At 40.5% G+C, this 22,758-nt stretch overlaps 1 protein-coding gene across 11 annotated transcripts in view, besides 1 other annotated feature; it reads right to left on the reverse strand.

Annotated features, from left to right (window-relative positions):
* The window catches only part of PTPRT (protein tyrosine phosphatase receptor type T), a 1,158,017-nt gene that overhangs the window by 272,893 nt on the left and 862,366 nt on the right, over positions 1-22,758 (reverse strand). For all 11 annotated transcript variants that reach the window (XM_047439848.1, NM_001394024.1, NM_007050.6 and 8 more), the window contains exon 12: positions 10,941-11,214. In XM_047439848.1, the coding sequence (XP_047295804.1) occupies positions 10,941-11,214 (274 nt within the window). The remainder of the gene's footprint in view (positions 1-10,940; positions 11,215-22,758) is intronic.
* Positions 4,082-4,765: an enhancer, noted in NCBI's record as "OCT4-NANOG hESC enhancer chr20:40937504-40938187 (GRCh37/hg19 assembly coordinates)". NCBI's record gives its function as "activates a minimal SCP1, AML or CMV promoter by ChIP-STARR-seq in primed H9 embryonic stem cells {active_cell/tissue: H9 hESC(primed)}" and the evidence as "EXISTENCE:reporter gene assay evidence [ECO:0000049][PMID:30033119]".

Below are 22,758 nucleotides of genomic sequence, written 5' to 3' on the forward strand. Positions count from 1 at the left end.
GCAAAAATGTTCTGATGACATTGACCAGCATCAACTCAGGGCTTCTTATACAAGGATATATGTGATAAATCACCCTCTTAGTGTCTTTCATGAAAAATATGTATGCTTCCTTCAAGTAAGAGAAGCTATGCAAACCTGCCACCTGCTCTTTTTTTCCTTGGCTTCGAGGAAGCTCAGGAGATACAGATAGTGTACCCTGCGCTAACCACCTATACTAGGCCTCTGGTGCAATGATTACTCTTTATTCCACTATAAGATTCTTAGACTAATTTAAACTTTTTATTCTAGGGCCTGGTGCAGTGGCTCCTGCTTGTAATCCCAGCACTTTGGGAGGCTGAGGCAGGAGGATTGCTTGAGGTCAGCAGTTCGAGACCAGCTTGGTCAACATGGTGAAAACCCATCTCTGCTAAAAATACAAAAATTAGCCAGGCATGTTGATGCATGCCTGTAGTCCCAGCTACTTGGGAGGCTGAGGCAGGAGAATCACTCGAACCTGGGAGGCAGGTTGTAGTGAGCTGAGATCATGCCACTGCAATCTAGCCTGGGCAACAGAGTGTGACTCTGTCTCAAAAAATAAAATAAAAGTAAAAAAAAAAAATTTTAATTGAACATGTATACATACATACTCATATATACACATACATCTATATATATGCATGCTAAAATATTTATGTGTATATGCACATATGCTGAATTCTTGTTCTGTATATAAATTTCATAAAATTTACAGTTAAAAATTTAGATTCACATACCCAAGTGTTTCCACCAAAGATACTTCAAAGTTTTCCAATAACTGAATTGAGTATCAGTTTTAACATGTGTGTGCACGTGTGTGTGTGCGTGTATGTGTGTGTGTGTGTTTTAGCAAGTATACCTTTACCTGAAAGGTCCTTTGCAAAGAGTTATCACGCCTACCATTTACTTGTTACAAAGGTCCTAGTGAGCTTGAAGGACACATCTCATCCCTGTTTGACAGAGGGGAAACTGAGGTTTGGCAGGCAAGTATTCTGTCTATGGAGCTAAGAAACGGAAAAGCCAGTTCTAAAACCCATGGATACCATTTCCAAATTCAGAAGTTTCTCTACTTTTTCACCATCTGAGGGCAATCAGTCCAAGCTTCACGAGGTTCCTTACATTGTAGGGGCCTGATGGAGGCAGAGATGCTGCTATATAGAAACTGAGGCTGCTATTTCCATGAACTTTGTTGGGACTGGAGTCTGGAGCATTTATCCCTGAAGGCCCAGGCTGACAAGATTATCAGCTGTCAACATTTGGGTAACCTTCATCTCCCTTTCCAAATGAATTTAAAGTATATTTGCATGGGAAGGAAAATGTTCCTGCTCCCTCAGGTCTCATACCATGATAATAAAATCTGTAGAAACTGTAAGTGGATGAAAAAATAAATTAGCAACCTGGGAGAGCTCATCTTGGTATCTGTACAAGGTGACACTTGGGGAATTTCTATCTTACCTAAGGAGAGAAGTCTGGGCCCCAACAGAGCTCCAGCAGGGGTTTAGAGTTTTAAGGCTCAAACAATGGAATGGAGGCCTGGAAGCAGGGATGCCCAAGTGAGTGGGTAAGCCCCAGGAGATGGAGTCCACTGAGGACTGGGAAAGAGTTCTAGGCAGATAAATGGGGCATGGAACCTAGGCTCTGGTGACAGACAAGAGCTGTGAGTGGATGTTTACCCGATTGAGATTTTCCTAAGGAGTAATGGAAAGGTTGTGATGATAATCCTGGAATCAAAGTGTCTAGTTCAGTCTTCCTCTCCACTTCAACAGGGCTCTGCAGAGCTAATAAAATCCAGGAATCGATTCCTTACATAGACTATAGTGACAAGTCAGCAAACGGTTACGTGGGGGCCTCTGGGTCACAGCTCTCTGTTGCCTTGGCTCAGCTACCGATGGGTGGTACAGGTCTAAGGTCTGCTGAGTTATAGAAGCATTGGAAGACCGTTGCTTTTCAGGGTGGAACAGGAGCACATTGAGTTTCAGGCATTTCTTTACCATTCCTCCATGGAGGTAAAGGGGAAAAGCTGTTACTAAAATCCCTCCTTCAGTGTGAAGTAACTGAGACCCCATGGGATTCCAGGAGCCTCTAGGTGTTCGTCCATCTACTGAAAAAATGTAGTCACTTTGTGAGACCAATCAAGGAAGCAGCATAGGTGAAAGCACCTTGCTTAATATCTGAGACACAGCAGATGCTCAAGCAATTGAAATTCCTCAGGATTTGTGGTATGAACTGCCCAGGTGCTTCAGGAGCAAGTCTGGGTATTATAAGAATATGAAGGGGAGGCTTAGTCATCATGGAAAATTGTGGTAGTCATTGGGGAAGTTCTCAAATATTCCAGTTCTCCTAGGCATATAGAAGGCACTGCCTTATTCTTTCTGAAATTAAGTGTGGCCATGTGGTTAGCCTTGGCCAGTGGAATGTGAAAATGCTATGCACCACTTTGTATGGAAACTTGTAGAACGAATGCTCTATTTGCCACATTTTTCTTTCTCAGACTTGGTGGTGGTGTCAAGATGGACATTCTGTTGGCCTGAGTCTCTGCCTGCAACAAGCAGAGACCCTCTGCTGACCCATTTCAAATATATAGCAGAAGTGATCCAGTGAGATTTTGTTGTTGTTACTACAGAATAATTTAGCTTATCTTAACCAATATAGGAGTTTTCAAATAAACTTCCTGATGGGGTATCCAAGACCCAAACTGCCATGTGATCTCCTGATGATCTTAACTCGAACCCTCTAGAGCTTATATCTACAGCTTCTCATTCCATGTCTATCTGAGGTTTTCATAAGGACATGCGAACAGTCACTGAACTAACACGAGAAATAAGAAATGGGGTAGAAAGGGCAATATCATAACCAAAAGATAAGATCAATTGTGCCAAAAGACTCAACAGGAACAGATATCAGGCTTGAAACTGTCAGAGACCTTTGAACCAGAGCAACTCCATCTTGAATAGGGGCTGGGTAAAATAAGGCTGAGACCTACTGGGCTGTATTCTCAGGAGGTTAGGCATTCTAAGTCACAGGAAGAAACAGGAGGTTGGCATGAGATACAGGTCATGAAGATGTTGTTGATGAAACAGGTTGCAGTAAAGAAGCCGGCCAAATCCCACCAAAAGCAAGATGGTGACAAAAGTGACGGCTGGTCATTCTCCTGCTCATTATATGCGAATTATAATGCATCAGCATGCTAAAAGCCACTTCTACCGGCACCATGACAGTTTATAAGTGCTATGACAACATCAAGAAGTTAGCCTATATGTTCTGAAAGTGGGAGGAACCCTCAGTTCCGGGAATTGCCCACCCCTTTCCCAGAAAACTCATGAATAATCCACCCCTTTTTTTTTAGCATATCATTAAGAAATAACCACAAAAATGGCCAACCAGCAGCTCATACTGCTGCTCTGTCTATGGAGCAGCCATTATTTTATTCCTTAACTTTCCTAATAAACTTGCGTGGACTTGCCTAGAATTCTTTCTTCCACAAGAACCAAGAATCCTCTCTTGGGGTCTGGATCCGGACCCCTTTCCAGTGACAAAACCATGTATGAGAAGTTAAACTAAGAGGAATACAGCCTGGGGTGAGTCATGGGTGAGTCAAGGCGGTCATCAGCTGGGACACAGACACAAGTCCTAAAGTCCTCCAAAGTTAGGAAGGTGTGTGCTTCTATGTGGAGTTTACTGGACAAATCGGTATATGCCAGGTAAGGATGCTCCAACCCTCTTCCCCCTCAGAAGAGGAGCCTCTGGAAAGCAGCCAAAAGAAAAAAGAACAAATAGTCCAACTGTAATGCGATAAGATACTTTAATATACATTGTCTAATTTACTCTCTCCCGATTTTTTTGAGGCAGATCATTAATCATATTTTCCATCTTGAGATGTTAAGTAAACTGTTCAAGTTCACATAGCTGAGAGCAGCCAAAATTCAAAGCCAAGTCTGTCTGATGCTCAACTCTCAGTTCTTTCCACTCTATCATGCCACAGAAAACCCATCCATGTGCAACCATTTCTTTAACAGTGGTTGGACACAAGTGAATATAATTTCTCCCAATTCATTCAGAGACACAGAATTTTCCCTAACCTAGCTCTACCTAGATAATCCCCACTATTATAACGTGATTATACTGCAAGCATCATGACCAATTCAACACAGCATCTGGTTTCCAAGTGCTCTCAAGAGGCAATTGAGTTCAAGAACTGGAGGAGGAAGTAGGAGAGAGAGAACAATCACCCTGCTACTTCCCACTTCTCTTATTTAGCTTAGCATTTGGCAGAGGCATCATCCAGGTTAAATGTACCCCTACATGATGGAAAGGATATGACAAGAAAAGACTTTTATCCTCTGCATAAATAGAACATGCATAACAGCATTGCCCAACAAAAGGTGGCTTCTGATGGATATTTGCATGAGTTTGCCACACTTGTTTTGCATCCAACCGTTAATTATGGTCCTTTCAACTTCACAATTACGGCTAATGGTGGTGAGGATGCAGAGAACAGTAGATTCAGCAGACCTCATTCTGGGAAGAGTGTGAAACAAACAATGCGAAACTGCACCCACCCGCTGTTTAGAACTGAGACAGCTACCCTGGGTACCATTTGGAGGATTTGGAGGAAATCAAGGCTGCCCAGGAGCCTGGAGCTTGGGAAATGAGACATCTGGGGAAAAAAATCTTACTACTATGATGGAGAAAAAAGGTCCTTTAGGACTCTTTTATCTATGGTGAAAATGGCTCAAACAACATCTCTCATTCTACGCTGAATGGAAATTCAGACTGTACTGACACCTACTTGGTGCTTTTCATTATTCAATATCTTTTTCTTATTTAATCCTCAAACAGACTGTGTGAAGTATATATTACTATTTCAATTTATAAGTGAGGAAACAGATTCATAGACAACAAGAAACAGTTCATAGTCTCATTCTTTCATTAATCCATCAAATGATTATTAGGTGTCTATTATGTGTTAAATAGTACACTCAGCATGGAGGATATAGCAGCTAAAAAAACAAAAAACCCAAACACACCAACCACAATTCATCACTCTTGGAGCTCTCAGCATGCTGTGGGAGGCATGCAGTACCCAACAACATGTGCAAATAAAATACATATATATCTAGTGTAATATAGAAAGATAGTGGGTTAACATATGAGTGAGTGCTGGTGGGTGGTTCTTAGGTAATATGGTTGGACTCTTCTCTGGAGATGTGAGATTGAAACTCAGGCCTGAAAAATGAGAAGGTACTAGCTCTGCAAACAGTGAAGAAAAGACAGATGTAGGTAAAATGCACCCTGAATTAAGACCCCAAAGTGAAAAACATGTTGGAATGTTTGAGAAATAATGTCTTAGGAAAGGTTCAAGACACGAGGCTTAGTTAAAATCTAGCAGGCATGTCTGAACCATATCTGAAGAACAGTGATAGGTTCTGGGCAACTCTTTTTGAGGAGAACATGATGGGGAAAATGAGCCTATCAGAGAAAAGGGTAAGTAGGATGAAGGATACCCAGAAATTATGCCATGTGAAAAATAAAAGAAGTAATAGCATGTTAATTATCAATGAGAAATAACTTGAGTGGCCAGAGGAGGGTAGTTGGTACTGTCTTATTTTCTCTGAAAGGCTAACAAAGGAAAGAACGTTTTGATTTGTTCAAACCAATACAAGTGGCTACAAGGGGAGAGTCAAGGAGACAGAATTTAGCTCTATATGGGAAAAAAGCTTTAACAATTTTACCTGCTCCACAAAGGAATCAACTCCCTTTCACTCCAGCAATTTGCATTGATCAAGCTGAAGCAATACAATGTGTTGCTAAGAATGCTTTATTGGAGATTTTTTTTTTGGCTTCTCGTCTAGACTAGATGACACTTCAAAGTCCTTCCTACTCTATGATGCTATAGTTCTATAATATTGCTATATCCAAAACAAATGGTTACAACATGGTCTAATTCATAAGAGACAGGTGTTGTGAATTAGGCACCAAAGACAGTGTGCCAGGACAAATGGGACTACATTTTTATCTGTAAGAAGGCATCAATGGATAAATGTGAGATTACTAATTGGAACAAAATTCCCAACACAAGTGCCTGTGAACAACTCTTGTGTCATGAAAATGCCTGCAAGAACCCTGAGCAACATATCTTATAGTGCATGCCACACTTGAACTCTGCATGGTGTTCACATGGCTGGATTAAAATACTTCATATTCACAGATCAACAAAGAGTCTATAAAATGTCTTTATCCTCATGCTGATAATAGTAAACATTTAATGACTGACTTCCACATTCCTAATGTGAAACCTAAGGATTCATTATTCGATACATTATTTCACTTATTTATTTTTGTTCTCTCCCCCACTAGAATGAAAACACGATGAGATCAGGGATCTTTGCTTGACTCACTGCTGCATTCTCAGCACTCAGAAAAATGCCTTTTTTGACATATTGCATGTGCTTGACAGATGTTTCCTTAATTAATCCATCATATCTAATTATTTTAGTAGTTTACTGAAAGTCACACAGCTACTAGGGTTTTGTACCTAGGCAGTCTGATAGTAAAGGTTGAATTCATAGCCACTCTGTTAACCTGACAAACCATCCTTAACATCCATAGAACAAAGATGTCCAGACCTCAGAATTCTCCTACCCTTCCTTGACTAAAACTTGCAGGTAGAGTAGGGAGCAATGAAATTTGCTGATAGTAAATTATTCCACCTGGCTCACAACCATCCTGCAACAAATGCCCATTTCTGCTTTCCTTTCACTTGAGGTTAATATAACTCTATCTCATCCTTTGTCTTTAATCTTTTAGTGACAGAAATATGGGTAATTCTGATTTTTCTTTGACCTAAGCTGTTTTCTTTCTCTTTCACAATGGAGCAAAACAACACTTTTTTACCCCCCCGTCACCCCATATCAAATCTAGTGCTTTCATCTTCTGGCTTTTTTTATAGTTTTGATTTTCATGTTTACTTATAGTTTTCTTTATTTTCTTCATTTTTCTTCGTTGACTGTTGTTTCTCAGCTTTTTAAGTATAGATTGGAGAGCTGACTTTGTTTAAAAGAACTATACTTTTTAGTATTCTCAGTATCAGAAATAAAACAGTAATTATGTATTCCCTCTTGTCTAACATGAGAAAATGAGCAGATTTTTATTTACATTCATCCATCTTCCAACTTTGTCTTAGTTTTTGTTGATAAAATAGTGAATTATAGATCCAGATTAGAACTGTTAAGTTTTTACATTATGCATCTTTGCCTTAAGTAGTTACATTTTACATTAACCTTCCATTTTGTAACACACTTAGAGCCATTATTGAGCATTAATGCTATGTTTAATTAGTTTTATGCTCACTGTAGGTCTTCGTATTCCACATTTCTCAATTCTTGATTTCTTTATTTTGATTAATTGCTCAGTCAATTGCTCTGTGAATGATTTATTAGAAGCAGGGAACGTGGGAGCCCCTGGATACCGAGAATGGCTTTCTGATGTATTTGCACACGAACAACAACTTGGCTGATAAAGAATTTGTGGATTATAACACTTTCTCCTCAAAAATCCTCCAGGCTTAACATCATTGTCTGCTGCCCTTTATGATATGGAAAAATTTGAGAGGGACCAGGCAGAGATTTGTTAGACTGAGAATGGCTGTTCTGCTTCAATGACCCTTTCACCCAACTCTTCTCAGTAAAATTTAATACTAAAGACAGTCATTTGAAACAGTGTGTAGTTTTTCCTTTGCCAGAAAAGTACAGCCTTCTGAGTGCCCAGCTCCCATTGCTTTTCCCCTGTCTGTTCCTGTGAGGTCAAGTGCACCCGCAAGACATGTGGCATAAGCACTCATCCAATTCCATTCCTGCCTGTGTTTCGTTACTGGGAATCTTAGTTACAAAGCAAGAGTACATATGCATGGTGTGGAATAGAAGGCACAGGTAATTAAATGGCCTTGTTCATTTCTGAAGCAGTGTCAAAACTGCTTCTGAGATGAGGCAGTTTCAGAGTGAGATCCTTTTTTTTTTTTTTTTTTTTTTCCTCTATGGCAAATCCCTGAGTCTTGAAGAGGGAGGTCTCTGATATGATGTTTGGGGAGCAAACTGTCGGAGGCATTTGAACCTGAGCAACTCCATCTTAAATAGGACCTGGGTAAAATGAGGCTGAGACCTACTGAGATGCATTCCCAGATGGTTAAGGCATTCTAACTCACAGGATGAGATAGGAAGTCGGTACAAGATACAGGCCACAAAGACCTTGCTATAAAAACAGCTTACAGTAAAGAAGCTGGCTAAAATCCACCAAAACTAAGATGGCCATGAGAGTGACCTCTGGTAGACCTCACTGCTACACTCCCACCATCATCAGGACAGTTTACAAATGCCATGGCAATGTCAGGAAGTTACCCTATATGGTCTAAAAAGGGGAGGCATGAATAATCCACCCTTGTTTAGCATATCAAGGAATAGCCATAAAAATGGACAAACAGCAGCCCTCAGGGATGCTCTGTCTATGAAGTAGCCATTCTTTTGTTCATTTACCTTCTTAATAAACTTGCTTTCACTTCACTATACGGACTTACCCTGAATTCTTTCTCACACGAGATCCAAGAACCCTCTCTTGGAGTCTGGATCAGGACCCCTTTCCTGTAACAAAACCTCTGTGGTTGGCTCAGGGCCAACCACTCTTATGGTGAGGACATTCCTTCTGATGTGCATTTGTTGGTTTCCCGGGTTCTATAGCCATGCTCTATTTCTAGGTTTTCTGAGTATCTTAGTGGGAAGAATAAAGTAAAGCTACTTCTTTCCCATCTCATCATGGAAACCCAACCACAACTTTTGATATGTGCCAAGAGCAGGGAAAGCCACACCTTCTTAGAGGGTTGTGCTGAACTGATAAACTGGCCAGTGTGGGATGCCGAGAACCGAGAACAAGATGAGTCCCAGATGCTTCTGCCAATTTTTATGTCTTCCTGCTCAATACATCAGAGTGCTTCATGCAGCGGGAAGACCAGATGGACAGGTGGAAGGCAGTCTGGCAGCTTCTCTTTGTAGTCTTATGCTCTCTGTGAGGAGTGTTGCTTGAACCAGTAATAAATGCAGAACTGAAATACCACAGTGGAATTTAAATGGGTATGTGGACATTCTAAATGTTAATTAGTTCCTCAATCCGGGTTTCTCACCAAGCACTGACTGCCATTGACAGATTAAACTCTCAATCTTGGCCACCCAGAGCCTGCCCAGGCTGTTCCCCACACACTTCACCAAATCTTGCTTCTGTCTCAGGCTTCCCTTCTCCAGCAAGCTTCTCAGTTCTCCATGTTATACACTGCATAACAAGGCACATGACAGACTCCCTTACATTTCTATAAGCTCTTGGAGGGTACATACTACATAAACTTAATATGAACTGTAGGGCTTAGCATTTGTTGGTGTTTGTTAAAAGAAATATGACCACTTTGGGGCTGGGCACGGTGGCTCACGCCTGTAATCCCAGCACTTTGGGAGGCTGAGGTGGGCAGATCACGAGGTCAGGAGACCGAGACCATCCTGGCTAACACGGTAAAACCCCGTCTCTACCAAAAATACAAAAAAATTAGCTGGGTGTGGTGGTGGGCACCTGTAGTCCCAGCTACTCGGGAGGCTGAGGCAGGAGAAGAGCGTGAACCTGGGAGGTGGAGCTTGCAGTGAGCCAAGATCGCACCACTGCACTCCAGCCTGGGCAACAGAGTGAGACTGTGTCAAAAAAAAAAAAAAAAGAAAGAAAAGAAAAGAAAAGAAAAGAAATATGAAAATATGACCACCTTGATGGAAAATACAAACTTGTGTAATAAAACAGGCTAAAGATATTTAGCTTGCAGAAAAGACAATCTTATGGGCACATTTATATAGAGAAGAAAAGGGTGTTAGAAAAGATCTTATGTAACTGAAAGACTATAAACCAAGAAGGTGGTTGCATTGGTTTTGTAGGATGCTAAGAGTGTGAATCAAGAACAATGGATAGAAACTTCAATAGGAAATATTTCAGTAAGTACATTAAAAAGCCTCCTTAGAGACACAGCCCACTCCCTACTCCAGAAAACAGTAAAGCTACCTCAGAGATAAATGAGTTCTCTGTCATTGGAGGTATTCAAGAATAAGCACTAATGCCAGTTAATTGGTGTTGTAGTATGGATAGAACCATTGTTTTGTGTGTGTTTGAGATTGTTGAATGACCTTTGATATGCTTTCCAGCCCTGTGATTTTCTAATATTATGACTGGTGCCAATCCTTGACCAAAGAAATATTTGACACAAAAATGGTTACCTTGCGTGAACCCGGGAAGCGGAGCTTGCAGTGAGCCGAGATTGCGCCACTGCAGTCCGCAGTCCGGCCTGGGCGACAGAGCGAGGCTCCGTCTCAAAAAAAAAAAAAAAAAAAAAAAAAAAAATGGTTACCTTGTTTTTGTTTTTGGAGAAACACTATTTTCTAATGTGACCAATGGCAATGAAAAAGGGCGTATTAATCACTAATCAACTAAACCATGATTAGTGCATTCCTAGATAGCAAATTGATAGATATTATTATTATATATGAAGAACTTAAGGATCAGAGAGGTCATGTAATTTCCTCAAGTAAAGCACCATCTCTTTACTTTAATACAGGAGTGTGCAAAGGTTTTATGTAAAAAGCCATATAATAAATATCTTAGGCTTTGTGGAGCATATAGTCTCTGTTACAACTGTTCAACTTTACTGTTAAGCATCAAAACAGCCATAGACAGTATGTAAATGAACAGGCATAGCTGTACTATTATTTTTTTAATTTAAAGGCATGAGGTAGGATTTGCCCCACGGGCCTTAGTTTTTCATCCTCTGCTCTAGAGCCCTGCTGACTTATCATTTGAGAATGAAAAAATGCAAACAAGGCAAGGAATGGCCTCCATGTGGCCATACTTACTCCATTGGCTTTGCTGAGTGCCTGGAAGTAGATGCTGTAGCTTTTCAGGGGAGAGAGAGGAGGGTTCCAGTAGCCATTGTATGTCTTATTGTCACCCACTGTAAATGGCTGGGTGACAGGCAGGTTGGCAGGCTTCAACTCAGCAGCAAAGTAGTGTAGAGAATCGAGGCTGGAGGCATTCCGATAGCTCACGGGCACCGAAAAGCACTCAATAATGTCAGCTGCCCTCCGTGACTTCTGAAGTCGCTCCTCCTTGACAACCAGCTGATAAACACTGGACAGGAAAGAGGAGACACAGATGGTTGAGCAACTTTCTGGAAGAATGAGCTTGTTAGCTCTAATGGTGTCAACCCAACTTCTCCTATGTGGAAGCATTGGTTCGGTCTACAACAAAACTCCAGTCCTGAGCATCAGATTTTCAAACCTACCACGTTGTAGAACTTTACCTCCACTTAGCTGTCTCAGAGCCAGCTCACACTAGACACATCTAAAACTCAACTTAGCCCCAACCCCTACAAACCTGTCTGCTCCTCCTTCTACATTTCCTTTCTTAGTAAATGGTAGCAGCATCTGACAAGTGGCCAGAATCTGAATCTAGGGCTCATCCTCAGTTCTTAACTCCTTCGTTCTCACTCCTCATCCTAATCAACAGCCTTACAGAAGTCTGTTGATTTGGCTTCTGCAGGTTTGCATCTGCCCCACCTCTCTTTTCTCCTTCCACTGATAATGCCTTGGTTGGACACTTTCCCACTTACCCAGATTCAACTAGTCTCTTTGCCTCTAAGGCACTTGATTTATTAATCACTCATCCTAATCATATGGCTTCCTAATCATATAGCTCTTCAAACACTTTCATAGGCCTTCCATTGTCCAAATTATACAATCTGAACTCCTAATCTTGGCATTTGAAGTCCTCTGTGCCTGCCTTCTGTCTTCCATTTAGAAGGTCTTCTCATGGTGTTCCCATCTTCCAGCTACTCCAGACCCCATGCTATTGCACAGACATCTTTTGGATCTCACCTCATGCATTACTGACTTATGCTTCCTCTACCTGCAATGCCCTGCATCCTGGCCACCTCTGGTTTCCTCCAAAGGCTGAGCATGTCTTTCACTTCCTCTATGAAGCCTGTCCAGATATGTCCAGTCTGGATGAATTACCTCCCTCTTTAGTTCCCCTAGAGCTCATCTAATCTCCATCTGCTTTGTTTTCCAATATCATGAGATGGGACTACTCTTTCACTGGCTAGATTGTGACCTTTTACAAAGTAGGCATTGTTGCTTACTTATCTCTGCCTCATTCTCCACCCCCACCCCATACTGCCCAGCAGGATGCCTGTCACCCAACAAGTGATCAATGAATGCTTGTTCAAATGAATTAAATTGGATTGAATTAAAATTGAAAGCAAACATGAAACCAAATCTGCCTGGATGCAGAAACCCTAATCGGATAAACAGCGATTGCCTTGAGTTCCTGTCTAGTGATCTCATATTGTTCCCTTCAAGTTAGAAGGATGTAAGAAGATGCTAGTGTGTGAATAGAGATGACTGATCCTTTATTGAATATCAACTGATACCCAATGTTAGACTCTCTTTGTAAAAGTTCTTTTAAGGTTTGTAAGTTGGAGAACATTTTTCAATCTCTTTGAATGCCCCACAGTTTATAGTTCTCTGGAATAAATGCTCTTCTTTTAGAAGAGCTTTATTGCACAGATCTCTGGGACTCATGATCTAAAACAGAAGATCGATTGCCCAAAGAGTACCCACTGGAGACTTCTGTGAATTAATGAGGTGGTTGCAGTAGGGGACCCCAAACCAATCATTTAAACAGGGCATAGTGAACCAGCATGTGGTTTATCAAAAATGAAACGTGTTGCAGGCTACCATCCTTCAATCAGACTATCCATCTAAAGACACTTGATTAAGGAGTACAACTTGGGAGATGACAGAGACACAGGACTATTTCATTAAGGAAAAAAGGCTATGGAGAACTGCCCTAAGAAAATGTGACACACTCAATATGGCAAGTTTTCCCCTGAATTTTCTTGAGCATAGGAATTTTCAGGCATGCGAAAAGGAAGCGCTGGGCATATGAGTATATGCCACACTTAGATGAGTGCAGGTAAACAGCAGCTCAATGACCATGCCTGTTGTACATACACATCTGAGTAAGAACCTGACAGTTCAGAGTGCATGTGAGTGACATGCGAGTGGATGTGGACAATCTCTCAAGAAATGCACACTACATCTGAGGGTGTACCATTTCCAAGTGAGGATCTGTATTACCTGGGCATCTAACTCCAAATGAGTAAATATAACATTCAGATGAACGTGGCTAACCTGAGTGTTTAGACTTCTAAATAAGTGTGTGTAACATCTGAGAAGGTGTTAACAATCCAAAGTTTGTGTGTGGGTGTGCACCATCTATGCATGTTCATAATGCCTGTTGAAGTCAATAAACGTTTAAATTAAATTATGATTTCAATAATCACTTCCTCCTCAACTCTGGGGTCCTTCTCAACTGTACAATTCCTATGTTTATCAGGACAGCTAAGCTCAAAGCAGTCACTGAAAAATAGCACAAGGACCTAATACCCAAACCTAGAGGTTGCAGGGCAGAAGTGGAGGGGTGTTTGTAACAGAGTTTTCAGGACCTGCACTGCTTTATAAATAACAATATATTCAGGTAAATCTTTGAATCTGGCTTGAATGCTAATAGTAGCTCGACCAGTTGAGGGTCCATTACTTGTGGGACTCTGATCTGTGAGGGAAAGGGCAAACACAAAAGAGCTTCATGAAGCAGACAACCTCTTGGGCTCTCCTGCTGAAGCTAACAACAGACCTAAGAACACTGCATTGGATTTGGGAGCATGCAACCAAAGCAGTCCTCATATCCTCTTCAGCAGATTAGAAGGAACCAATAGCCTCATCCCCAGGACCAGGAGTTGGAAAGAGCTGGGAGTCCCTGCTTTCTTCTGAGGGCCAGCCTATCCCTAATCACCGCTTGAATTGATCACATCTACATAACAAGGCCTTTGTCTTGCTTTCTCAGACAGACTTCCCATTCTACCTTAAATCCTTCTGTCATCTTTCCCCTCTAAATTGAGACCCCCGAAGCCTTGGGAGCTTCCCTGGGACTGAATCCCCCTCCAAGAATCAGTTCCTACTGTCTCTGGCCCTCCCGTGATGGGATGGATCAAGAGGAACCACATGGCTGTCCTCATTTACTGTCCACAACTAGCATAAGATTCCATAGTTGTGGCCAAGCAAGAAGATGGGTTCTCACTGGGCTCTGAACATTCAAATGCTGCCAAGGACTATTAGACACAGCCATAATATCTCTGTGAGGGTCAGCCTGTATATCCCCATCAGCTCTTTCTCCCCACCAATCTGATTACTGAAGATCCACTTGTCAATTCAACCAAGCTCAAAAGCCAGATTACACATGAGGAGGCTGAGGCCGAGAGGTCAAGTGATTCATGAGGGTCAAACTGCAGCAAAAGTAGAAACCCAGACTTTTCATTCATAGCTCAGTATCCTTCCTTTTTTTTTTTTTTTCTATTTTCTTCTCTTCCTACAAACCAATAAAACGTATAAAGGGGCTTCCAAGCATTTTTTTTTAACTTGGCATCCTAAACTGCTTAGCTCTATCCCAACCAACTCCATATGAAATTACAAAGAATAGCAAAGGGTATTTTTTTTTGGTTTAAACTGTGCAGTCAACATATGGTTCACATACGATTGTGATTATTGTGCCAAAATATACCCAGCAACTCCTTCAGGCCCATGCATTCACAGCCTGTCCATTCAAAAGCAAACCTGCAATGCAGCCAGAAAAATTTAAATCATTTTGTTAGATAAATCTGTTTGCCAGTGGATTCAGCCTCTCTCAAAGACCACAGAACTCTGATTGAAGAGGTGGAGAGAAGAAACAGCACTCACAAGTTGTATAACTTTCCTTTCCTGACACTTTTTAGGAAAGGGTGGGGGAAAGAAACAAGAAATTGGGTATTATTTGTATTTCTTGCAATAGCTTCATTCTCATTCTCTTGAGAATACATTTATCTAAGAGCATGTTCTTTTCAGCTTGCTGGTAATGATAAAATCATATCCAAATGTGAATGACCTCCCTTTTGGGGTCATATCTCCAGCTCAAAAACAGTGGTTGCAATAATCTATTCAGAATCATTTTTAAAGAGAAAGGATTTTTTTAGTAGGAAAAATCCCAATAACATGAGAGAAGAATAACCTAAGACACTCACCACACAGCACATAGCATTTACTCATACATTTTCTCCTCTTGTGACACCCTCTCTGTTTCTTCCAATGAGAAGATGGGCATTTATGACCTGTTTTTTCATTACTTATGCCAAGGATCTCTTATTGCAAGGATCTAAGAGTTATACTGTGCCCCCAACTAATTTCATTCACTCTAAGGTGACTTCTGTAAGGTCAAGGAGAGTTTGTACTCTTACTTTCAGTATCTCCTGCTGTCCATCCAAGGCAAAAACCCTCAGAACCTCTCCATAGGCTTTGGAAAAGCCTGCTGCTTGACCATCTTCCTCCCTCTGGACCCTAAGCTAATGGTTTAAATGGTGGCTTGAGATTCTCGGACCAGATTCCACTGAGGGGGACCAGGGACCTATCAGAGCCTCCTTCCATCAGTAACAGTTCCTGTGGCCCTCTTTCTATATCTAGAAAAGTTTCTAGCTAGGAGGTGTATCCTTTCAGAAAGTTGAAGTCAGGTGACAGATGGAGTGTATGCTTTAGCTCACAGGTACAGATTGCCCAACTTCAGAAAGATGCATATTTTAGTCCACGTTCTCCCAGAAGGAGGCATGTCTGAGTTCAGGTTCTTCCAGAAACAGACCCTGAGCCAAAGTTTCACTGCAAATGATGTATTGAGGAAGTAGTCCCAGAAGAAACTAGTAAAGGAGTGAGAGAAAATGGGAGGAAGTGGAGCAAGGGTGTGATATCAGGCAAAGTCCCAGTCTTAGCCTGATCTCATAGGGAGCTCTGGAGCATAAATTATACCCCCAGCATTTGTCTCATCTCAAACCAAAGGCTTTTGAACCTCCAGTGCTGGTCAGTTATTGGCTATGTCTGCACCAGAGAGACATAAACTCTAAGGCACTCCTAACTTTGTGTGAGGGTCAGACAAGGCGGCTCTGGCATCTTAATGGCAACATCCCACAGCAGGTCACACCTGGAAGCCATTTACATCAAAGCACATGGAAGCTGGGAGACGGACACACAGCAGAAAAGGGGAGGTGACAGTGTCTGGGAGGCCAGCAAGAGTGGCTCTGACAGGGCAGCTTTGGACAATGACCATATGAGACTTGTGAAAGGATCAGAGACCTATTTTATCAAGGTAATTTTCAAACTTTGTTTCCAGCACTCCTCATCTGAGAGATACGGTAATCTCTCACCAATCATAGTGGCTTCTCCATCACTGATTCTTCAAGTGAGGGCAGTGAACAGTCATCTCAGAATCTCAATGGAGGGTTGCTCAAGATCAATAGTTCTCAACTTGTGGCTGCATATTATAATTACCCAGAGGGCTTTCAGAATGCTTATTCCTTGGCTCTACTACAGATCAGCTGAATCAGAATCTCTAGGGGTAGGACCCTAGCATCAGTACTTTTTAGAAAAGCTCTCTAGATAGTTAAATGTGCAGCTACAAAATCATAAACCTAGGTGATTCTGATGTTTATACGCTTGCCCTTATGTTTATTCTGATATTTATACCTGTATAGCCAACAGGGGCATTCCCCTCCAGTATTCTCACTCCCTTGGAAGACACACTGATTTGAGTCATTCCAATTTCACCAAAGCATTAATACATAATTACCAGTATTCTGAGTCGTTGTACACCACATCTCCTGATTTATTTCTTCCACAGCTTTTATCATAATTGAAACATGTCTTATTTAATTATTTGTTTACTGGCTTTACTGCTTGCCCCCAAATAGGCTGCCAACTTCATGAGGTCTGAGATCTTGTCATCTAATTCATTGCTTCTAATACCATACTAGACACATAATGGTTTTTCAATAGGTATTTCTTAAAAAAAAGAATTTAAGGTCGAGCGCGGTGGCTCACGCCTGTAATCCCAGCACTTTGGGAGGCCAAGGCGGGTGGATCATGAGGTCAGGAGATCGAGACCACGGTGAAACCCCGTCTCTACTAAAAATACAAAAAAAATTAGCCAGGCGCAGTGGTGGGCGCCTGTAGTCCCAGCTTCTTAGGAGGCGGAGGCAGGAGAATGCCGTGAACCCGGAAGGCAGAGCTGCAGTTAGCCGAGATCACGCCACTGCACTCCAGCCTGGGTAACAGAGCAAGACTCTGTCTCAAATAAATGGAAGAACATTTCAACAAATGTTAAGACTCCGATACAAACAAATGGAAGAACATTCCATGCTCATGGGTAGGAAGAATCAATATCGTGAAAATGGCCATACTGCCCAAGGTAATTTATAGATTCAATGCCATCCCCATCAAGTTACCAATGACTTTCTTCACAGAATTGGAAAAAACTACTTTAAAGTTCATATGGAACCAAAAAAGAGCCCGCATCACCAAGTCAATCCTAAGCCAAAAGAACAAAGCTGGAGGCATCACCCTACCTGACTTCAAACTATACTACAAGGCTACAGTAACCAAAACAGCATGGTACTGGTACCAAAACAGAGATATAGATCAATGGAACAGAACAGAGCCCTCAGAAATAACGCCGCATATCTACAACTGTCTGATCTTTGACAAACCTGAGAAAAACAAGCAATGGGGAAAGGATTCCCTCTCTAATAAATGGTGCTGGGTAAACTGGCTAGCCATATGTAGAAAGCTGAAACTGGATCCCTTCCTTACACCTTATACAAAAATCAGTTCAAGATGGATTAAAGACTTAAATGTTAGACCTAAAACCATAAAAAACCTAGAAGAAAACCTAGGCATTACCATTCAGGACATAGGCATGGGCAAGGACTTCATGTCTAAAACACCAAAGCAATGGCAACAAAAGCCAAAATTGGCAAATGGGATCTAATTAAACTAAAGAGCTTCTGCACAGCAAAAGAAACTACCATCACAGTGAACAGGCAACCTACAAAATGGGAGAAAATTTTTGCAGCCTACTCATCTGACAAAGGGCTAATATCCAGAATCTACAATGAACTCAAACAAATTTACAAGAAAAAAACTAACAACCCCATCAAAAAGTGGGCGAAGGACATGAACAGACACTTCTCAAAAGAAGACATTTATGCAGCCAAAAAACACATGAAAAAATGCTCACCATCACTGGCCATCAGAGAAATGCAAATCAAAACCACAATGAGATACCATCTCACACCAGTTAAAATGGCAGTCATTAAAAAGTCAGGAAACAACAGGTGCTGGAGAGGATGTGGAGAAATAGGAACACTTTTACACTGTTGGTGGGACTGTAATCCAGTTCAACCATTGTAGAAGTCACTGTGGCGATTCCTCAGGGATCTAGAACTAGAAATACCATTTGACCCAGCCATCCCATTACTGGGTATATACCCAAAGGATTATAAATCATGCTGCTATAAAGACACATGCACACATATGTTTATTGCGGCACTATTCACAATAGCAAAGACTCGGAACCAACCCAAATGTCCAACAATGATAGACTGGATTAAGAAAATGTGGCACATATACACCATGGAATACTATGCAGCCATAAAAAATGATGAGTTCATGTCCTTTGTAGGGACATGGATGAAGCTGGAAACCATCATTCTCAGCAAACTATCGCAAGGACAAAAAACCAAACACCGCATGTTCTCACCCATAGGTGGGAATTGAACCAATGAGAATACATGGACACAGGAAGGGGAACATCACACTCTGGGGACTGTTGTGGGGTAGGGGGAGAGGGGAGGGATAGCATTAGGAGATACACCTAATGCTAAATGACGAGTTAATGGGTACAGCACACCAGCATGGCACATGTATACATATGTAACTAACCTGCACATTGTGTACATGTACCCTAAAACTTAAAGTGTAATAATAATAAAATAAAATAAAAATAAAAAAAAGAAAATATAAATTACAGCAACAATGAGAAACTATCACACACACCCATTATAACGGCCATCAGACAAAAGACAGACAACCAGTGTTTGAAAGAATGTGGAAAAACTGGAACCATCATACATTGCTGTTGGAAAGGTAAAATGGTACAGTCACTCTGGGACACAGTCTGGTAGTTCCTTAAAAAGGTAAACATAAAAGTACCATTCATCTAGTTATTCCATTTCTACCTATCTATCCAAAAGAAATAAGACATTTCCACACAAAAACTTGAATTAAACTGTTCATAGAAGCATTATTTATAATCGCCAAAACATAAAAACCATCCAAATGTTTATCAACCAATTGGTGAATGGGTAAACAATATGTGGTATATCTATGCAATAGAATATTATTCAGTAACAAAAGAAATAAACTACTGCTACAATCTGCAGCATGAAGCTCCAAAACATTATGCTAAATGAGAGAAATAAGACGTAGAAGACTACATATTGTATGATTCTATTCGTATTTATTAAGTTATGGAGAAAAGGCAAGGCCATAGAGACAGAAATCAGATTAGCAATTGCCTGGGACTGGAAGTGGAAATAGGAATCAATTGTACATGGGCATAGGGGATTTTATGGTGTGATGAAAATATTCTAAAATGGGACTGTGGTGATAGTTGCACGATCCTATACATTTACTAAAGAATTGTACACTTAACATAGGTAAATTTATGGTATGTAAATTATACCTCAATAAAGCTGTTAAGAGAAACAGACTGAATAATCTTCAATGTCCTTTCACACTTCAAAAGTCTATGCTTTGGCATTTAAGTATGCACAAATTTTAATACAAAATGCTATGATAAACCATTGGTTTTATAGGATAAGATGGGCTAAGAAACAAGTGTGAGCTTTGTAATGCCCAACAGAATCTAGCTTTGCAATTACATTCCCTGCTTAAAGGTCACTCAGAACTATGGAGCTGAAATTTACAATGATATGTCTTAGTTAGCCAACCTTTCTTCCAAGACTCTGGGAATTCCTGTTTTTACTCACTATTTGCCTAGTCAAAATAGCTCGCAGAGGAGACAAGAAAATGGGAGGAGGTGTACATTCGGCAGATTAGTGTCAGAATTAGTGCACGTGCATCTTTGCTTTGCCTCTGACTAGTTCGGCGACCTATTGTCCTATCTGTCTGTCTTTTATACATTTATTCATCAGACATTTATTGGGTGATGATAGCTCAATAAAGTAAACATAGCAGGTTCAAATTTGAATGCAACCTGGCCACTGGGTACTGGGTGCTTAGAGCTCAGAGTGGAGAAATAATGAACTGTTCACTATAATCCAATGAAGTGAGGGCAGCAAGAACTCTGCCAGGGAAGGATTCTGGGAAGGAAGGAACCTACAGGGCAGTGCAAAGACTGAAATTACATGTCTAGGAAGTGCATTCTAGAAAGTGCTCTATGAAAGTTGGCTGGAGCCTTCACAATTGCTGCATGCATTATTATTACAATATTACTGAATTAGACACCAAAGAGTGGCTTTGTTTCTTATTTGGGCCCTTCTCCTATGATTGAATTGCATTTGATACATTTAATGAAAGTGAATTTTGTGTAGAAATTTAGAGGAAGAAAATATGTTGGGTAAAGGAATCATGAAAATCCAGTTGAAGCATCCAAATAAGTTTTCCCTCAATCATGGCTCTTCTCTCTTTCAAAATACCATAGATTCAGTCCATAAGCAATTCCCATGGCTTCAGTTTCAATATACTGTATATTGAGAATCTGACTGCTTCTCAGCATCTTCATAGTTACAGCTCTGAACTAAGCTTCCATCATCTCTTAACTGGATTATTGTAATAGCCTCCCAACTGGTCTCCCTGCTTTCACTTTTGCCCCCAAAATTTATTCTCAAAACAGTGGCTAGAATGACTCCTTAAAAACATGACTCAGCTCAAGACTCCCCTCTGCTCAAAGCCCCCTTATGGCTCTGACCTTACTTAGAGTAAAATGCAACATCTTTACAATGTCTACAAGACTCACTCTTAAGAACTCTCTGATCTTACTCTTCTAATTCTTCTCCAGTTACACTGGCCTCTTTGCTGTTCCCTGAACACCCCACACACGCTCCCATTTCAAGGCCCTTGCTCTCGCTATCCCCTTCCTTGAATGGTCTTCCCTTGGAGATAGGCAACCTAAGGAAGGCTTACTTTTTCACCTCTGCCAGGGAAGTCTGTCCTGACCACTTTATTTAAAATAGCAACCGAAATCCACAATATAGCCAATTACACTTTCCCTCTTAATTTTTACCTACCACACCTAACAGATTAGGTCCTTTTAAGAGAGAACTGTAAGCACTGCAAATGTCAACCTTCCTTTGGGAAAAAGCGGCTGGATCAATATGGGGCCAGTTAGGCAATATTTGGGTAGATAACCTTGATATGGGGACCTTTGCTAAAGCAAGGTGGAGGTTTTAGTACTGGCTTCACACTCGCTGCTCTGTCTGCCATGCTGAGAAAGTCACTTTACCTCTAGAACTTGCCTCTAAAATGGAATAATTGTGACCAATGCAATAAGACACAAAACAGAAGAGATACACATTTTAGAAAGGAAAGCAATTCATCGTCATTTGCAGATAACATGACTAGACCTAATATATTGAAGCAAATCAACTGAAAGACTGTTAAAATTAATAAAAGAATTCAGTAAAGTAGTTTTGTAGAAGATGGAAATAAATACACTGTACACCATGGAAAACAAGCTAGAAGATGTAATGAAAAAGCCTTTTAGAATAGAGTCCTTTAAAAATAGCTAAGGAAAACACAAATAAGAAACGTATAGGACTGACATTGGAAGGAAAATAAAACTCTACTGAATGATTTAAAAGACTATCTCCAGCCCCTAGCACACGGCTTGGTAGAGTGGGTGTTAAATAATTGTGCTGAACTGAAGATGAATAAATGGACAGAAAGGCTGAAATCCTGGAGGAAAGCATCATATATTGTAAAAATGTCAATTCTTGCCAAATTGATGTATTGTTTTCTTTGAGAAAAAGCAAATTGTATAAAATATGAGCCAGTTAGGTGATATTTGTGAGCCCTAAAGATGTGGATGGCCATAATTTGACAATTCCAGTAAGATTTGTTTTGTTCAAATGGGAAATATGGTTAAGAACTTAAAAAAAAAAAAACAACAAAGGAATGAGGCTGAAAAACCACTACTGGATATTAAGTTATATTATGAAGTTACAATGATTAAACCATGGGTACTAGAGTATGAGTTAAATAAAAATGGACTAGGTAGGGGTGTGTGTGTGTGTGTGTGTGTGTGTGTGTGTATGACAGAGAGAGAGAAACATATAATTTTATGTATAAAATTACACGCAACATAAATTAATGAAAAAGAAAATTTTATCACTTAGTGTTTCAGAAATTCCATAATTATGAGATGAAATCATCAAATTTAAGACCTCGCTACATATGAAAAACCACATTATATTCCAATAGTTCAGAATTAATTTATTTACTGAAAAATTTTAGTATGCCCTTGCCAACCAAATACAATGTGTGATCCTTGATTGGATCCTGGATTGAATTTTAAAAAGCTTTAAAGGACAATTAATTGGGAGAATTGGGGAAATTTGAATGTGACCTATATATTAGATACCAGCATTATGTCACTTTGAAATTTCCTGAGCGTGATGATTGTTTTGTGGCTATGTAACAGACTGACCTTTCCATAGGAGATACAAACTAAAGGTTTTGA

This window comes from Homo sapiens, chromosome 20 (assembly GCF_000001405.40).
Source record: "Homo sapiens chromosome 20, GRCh38.p14 Primary Assembly".
NCBI classification, from domain to species: domain Eukaryota; kingdom Metazoa; phylum Chordata; class Mammalia; order Primates; family Hominidae; genus Homo; species Homo sapiens.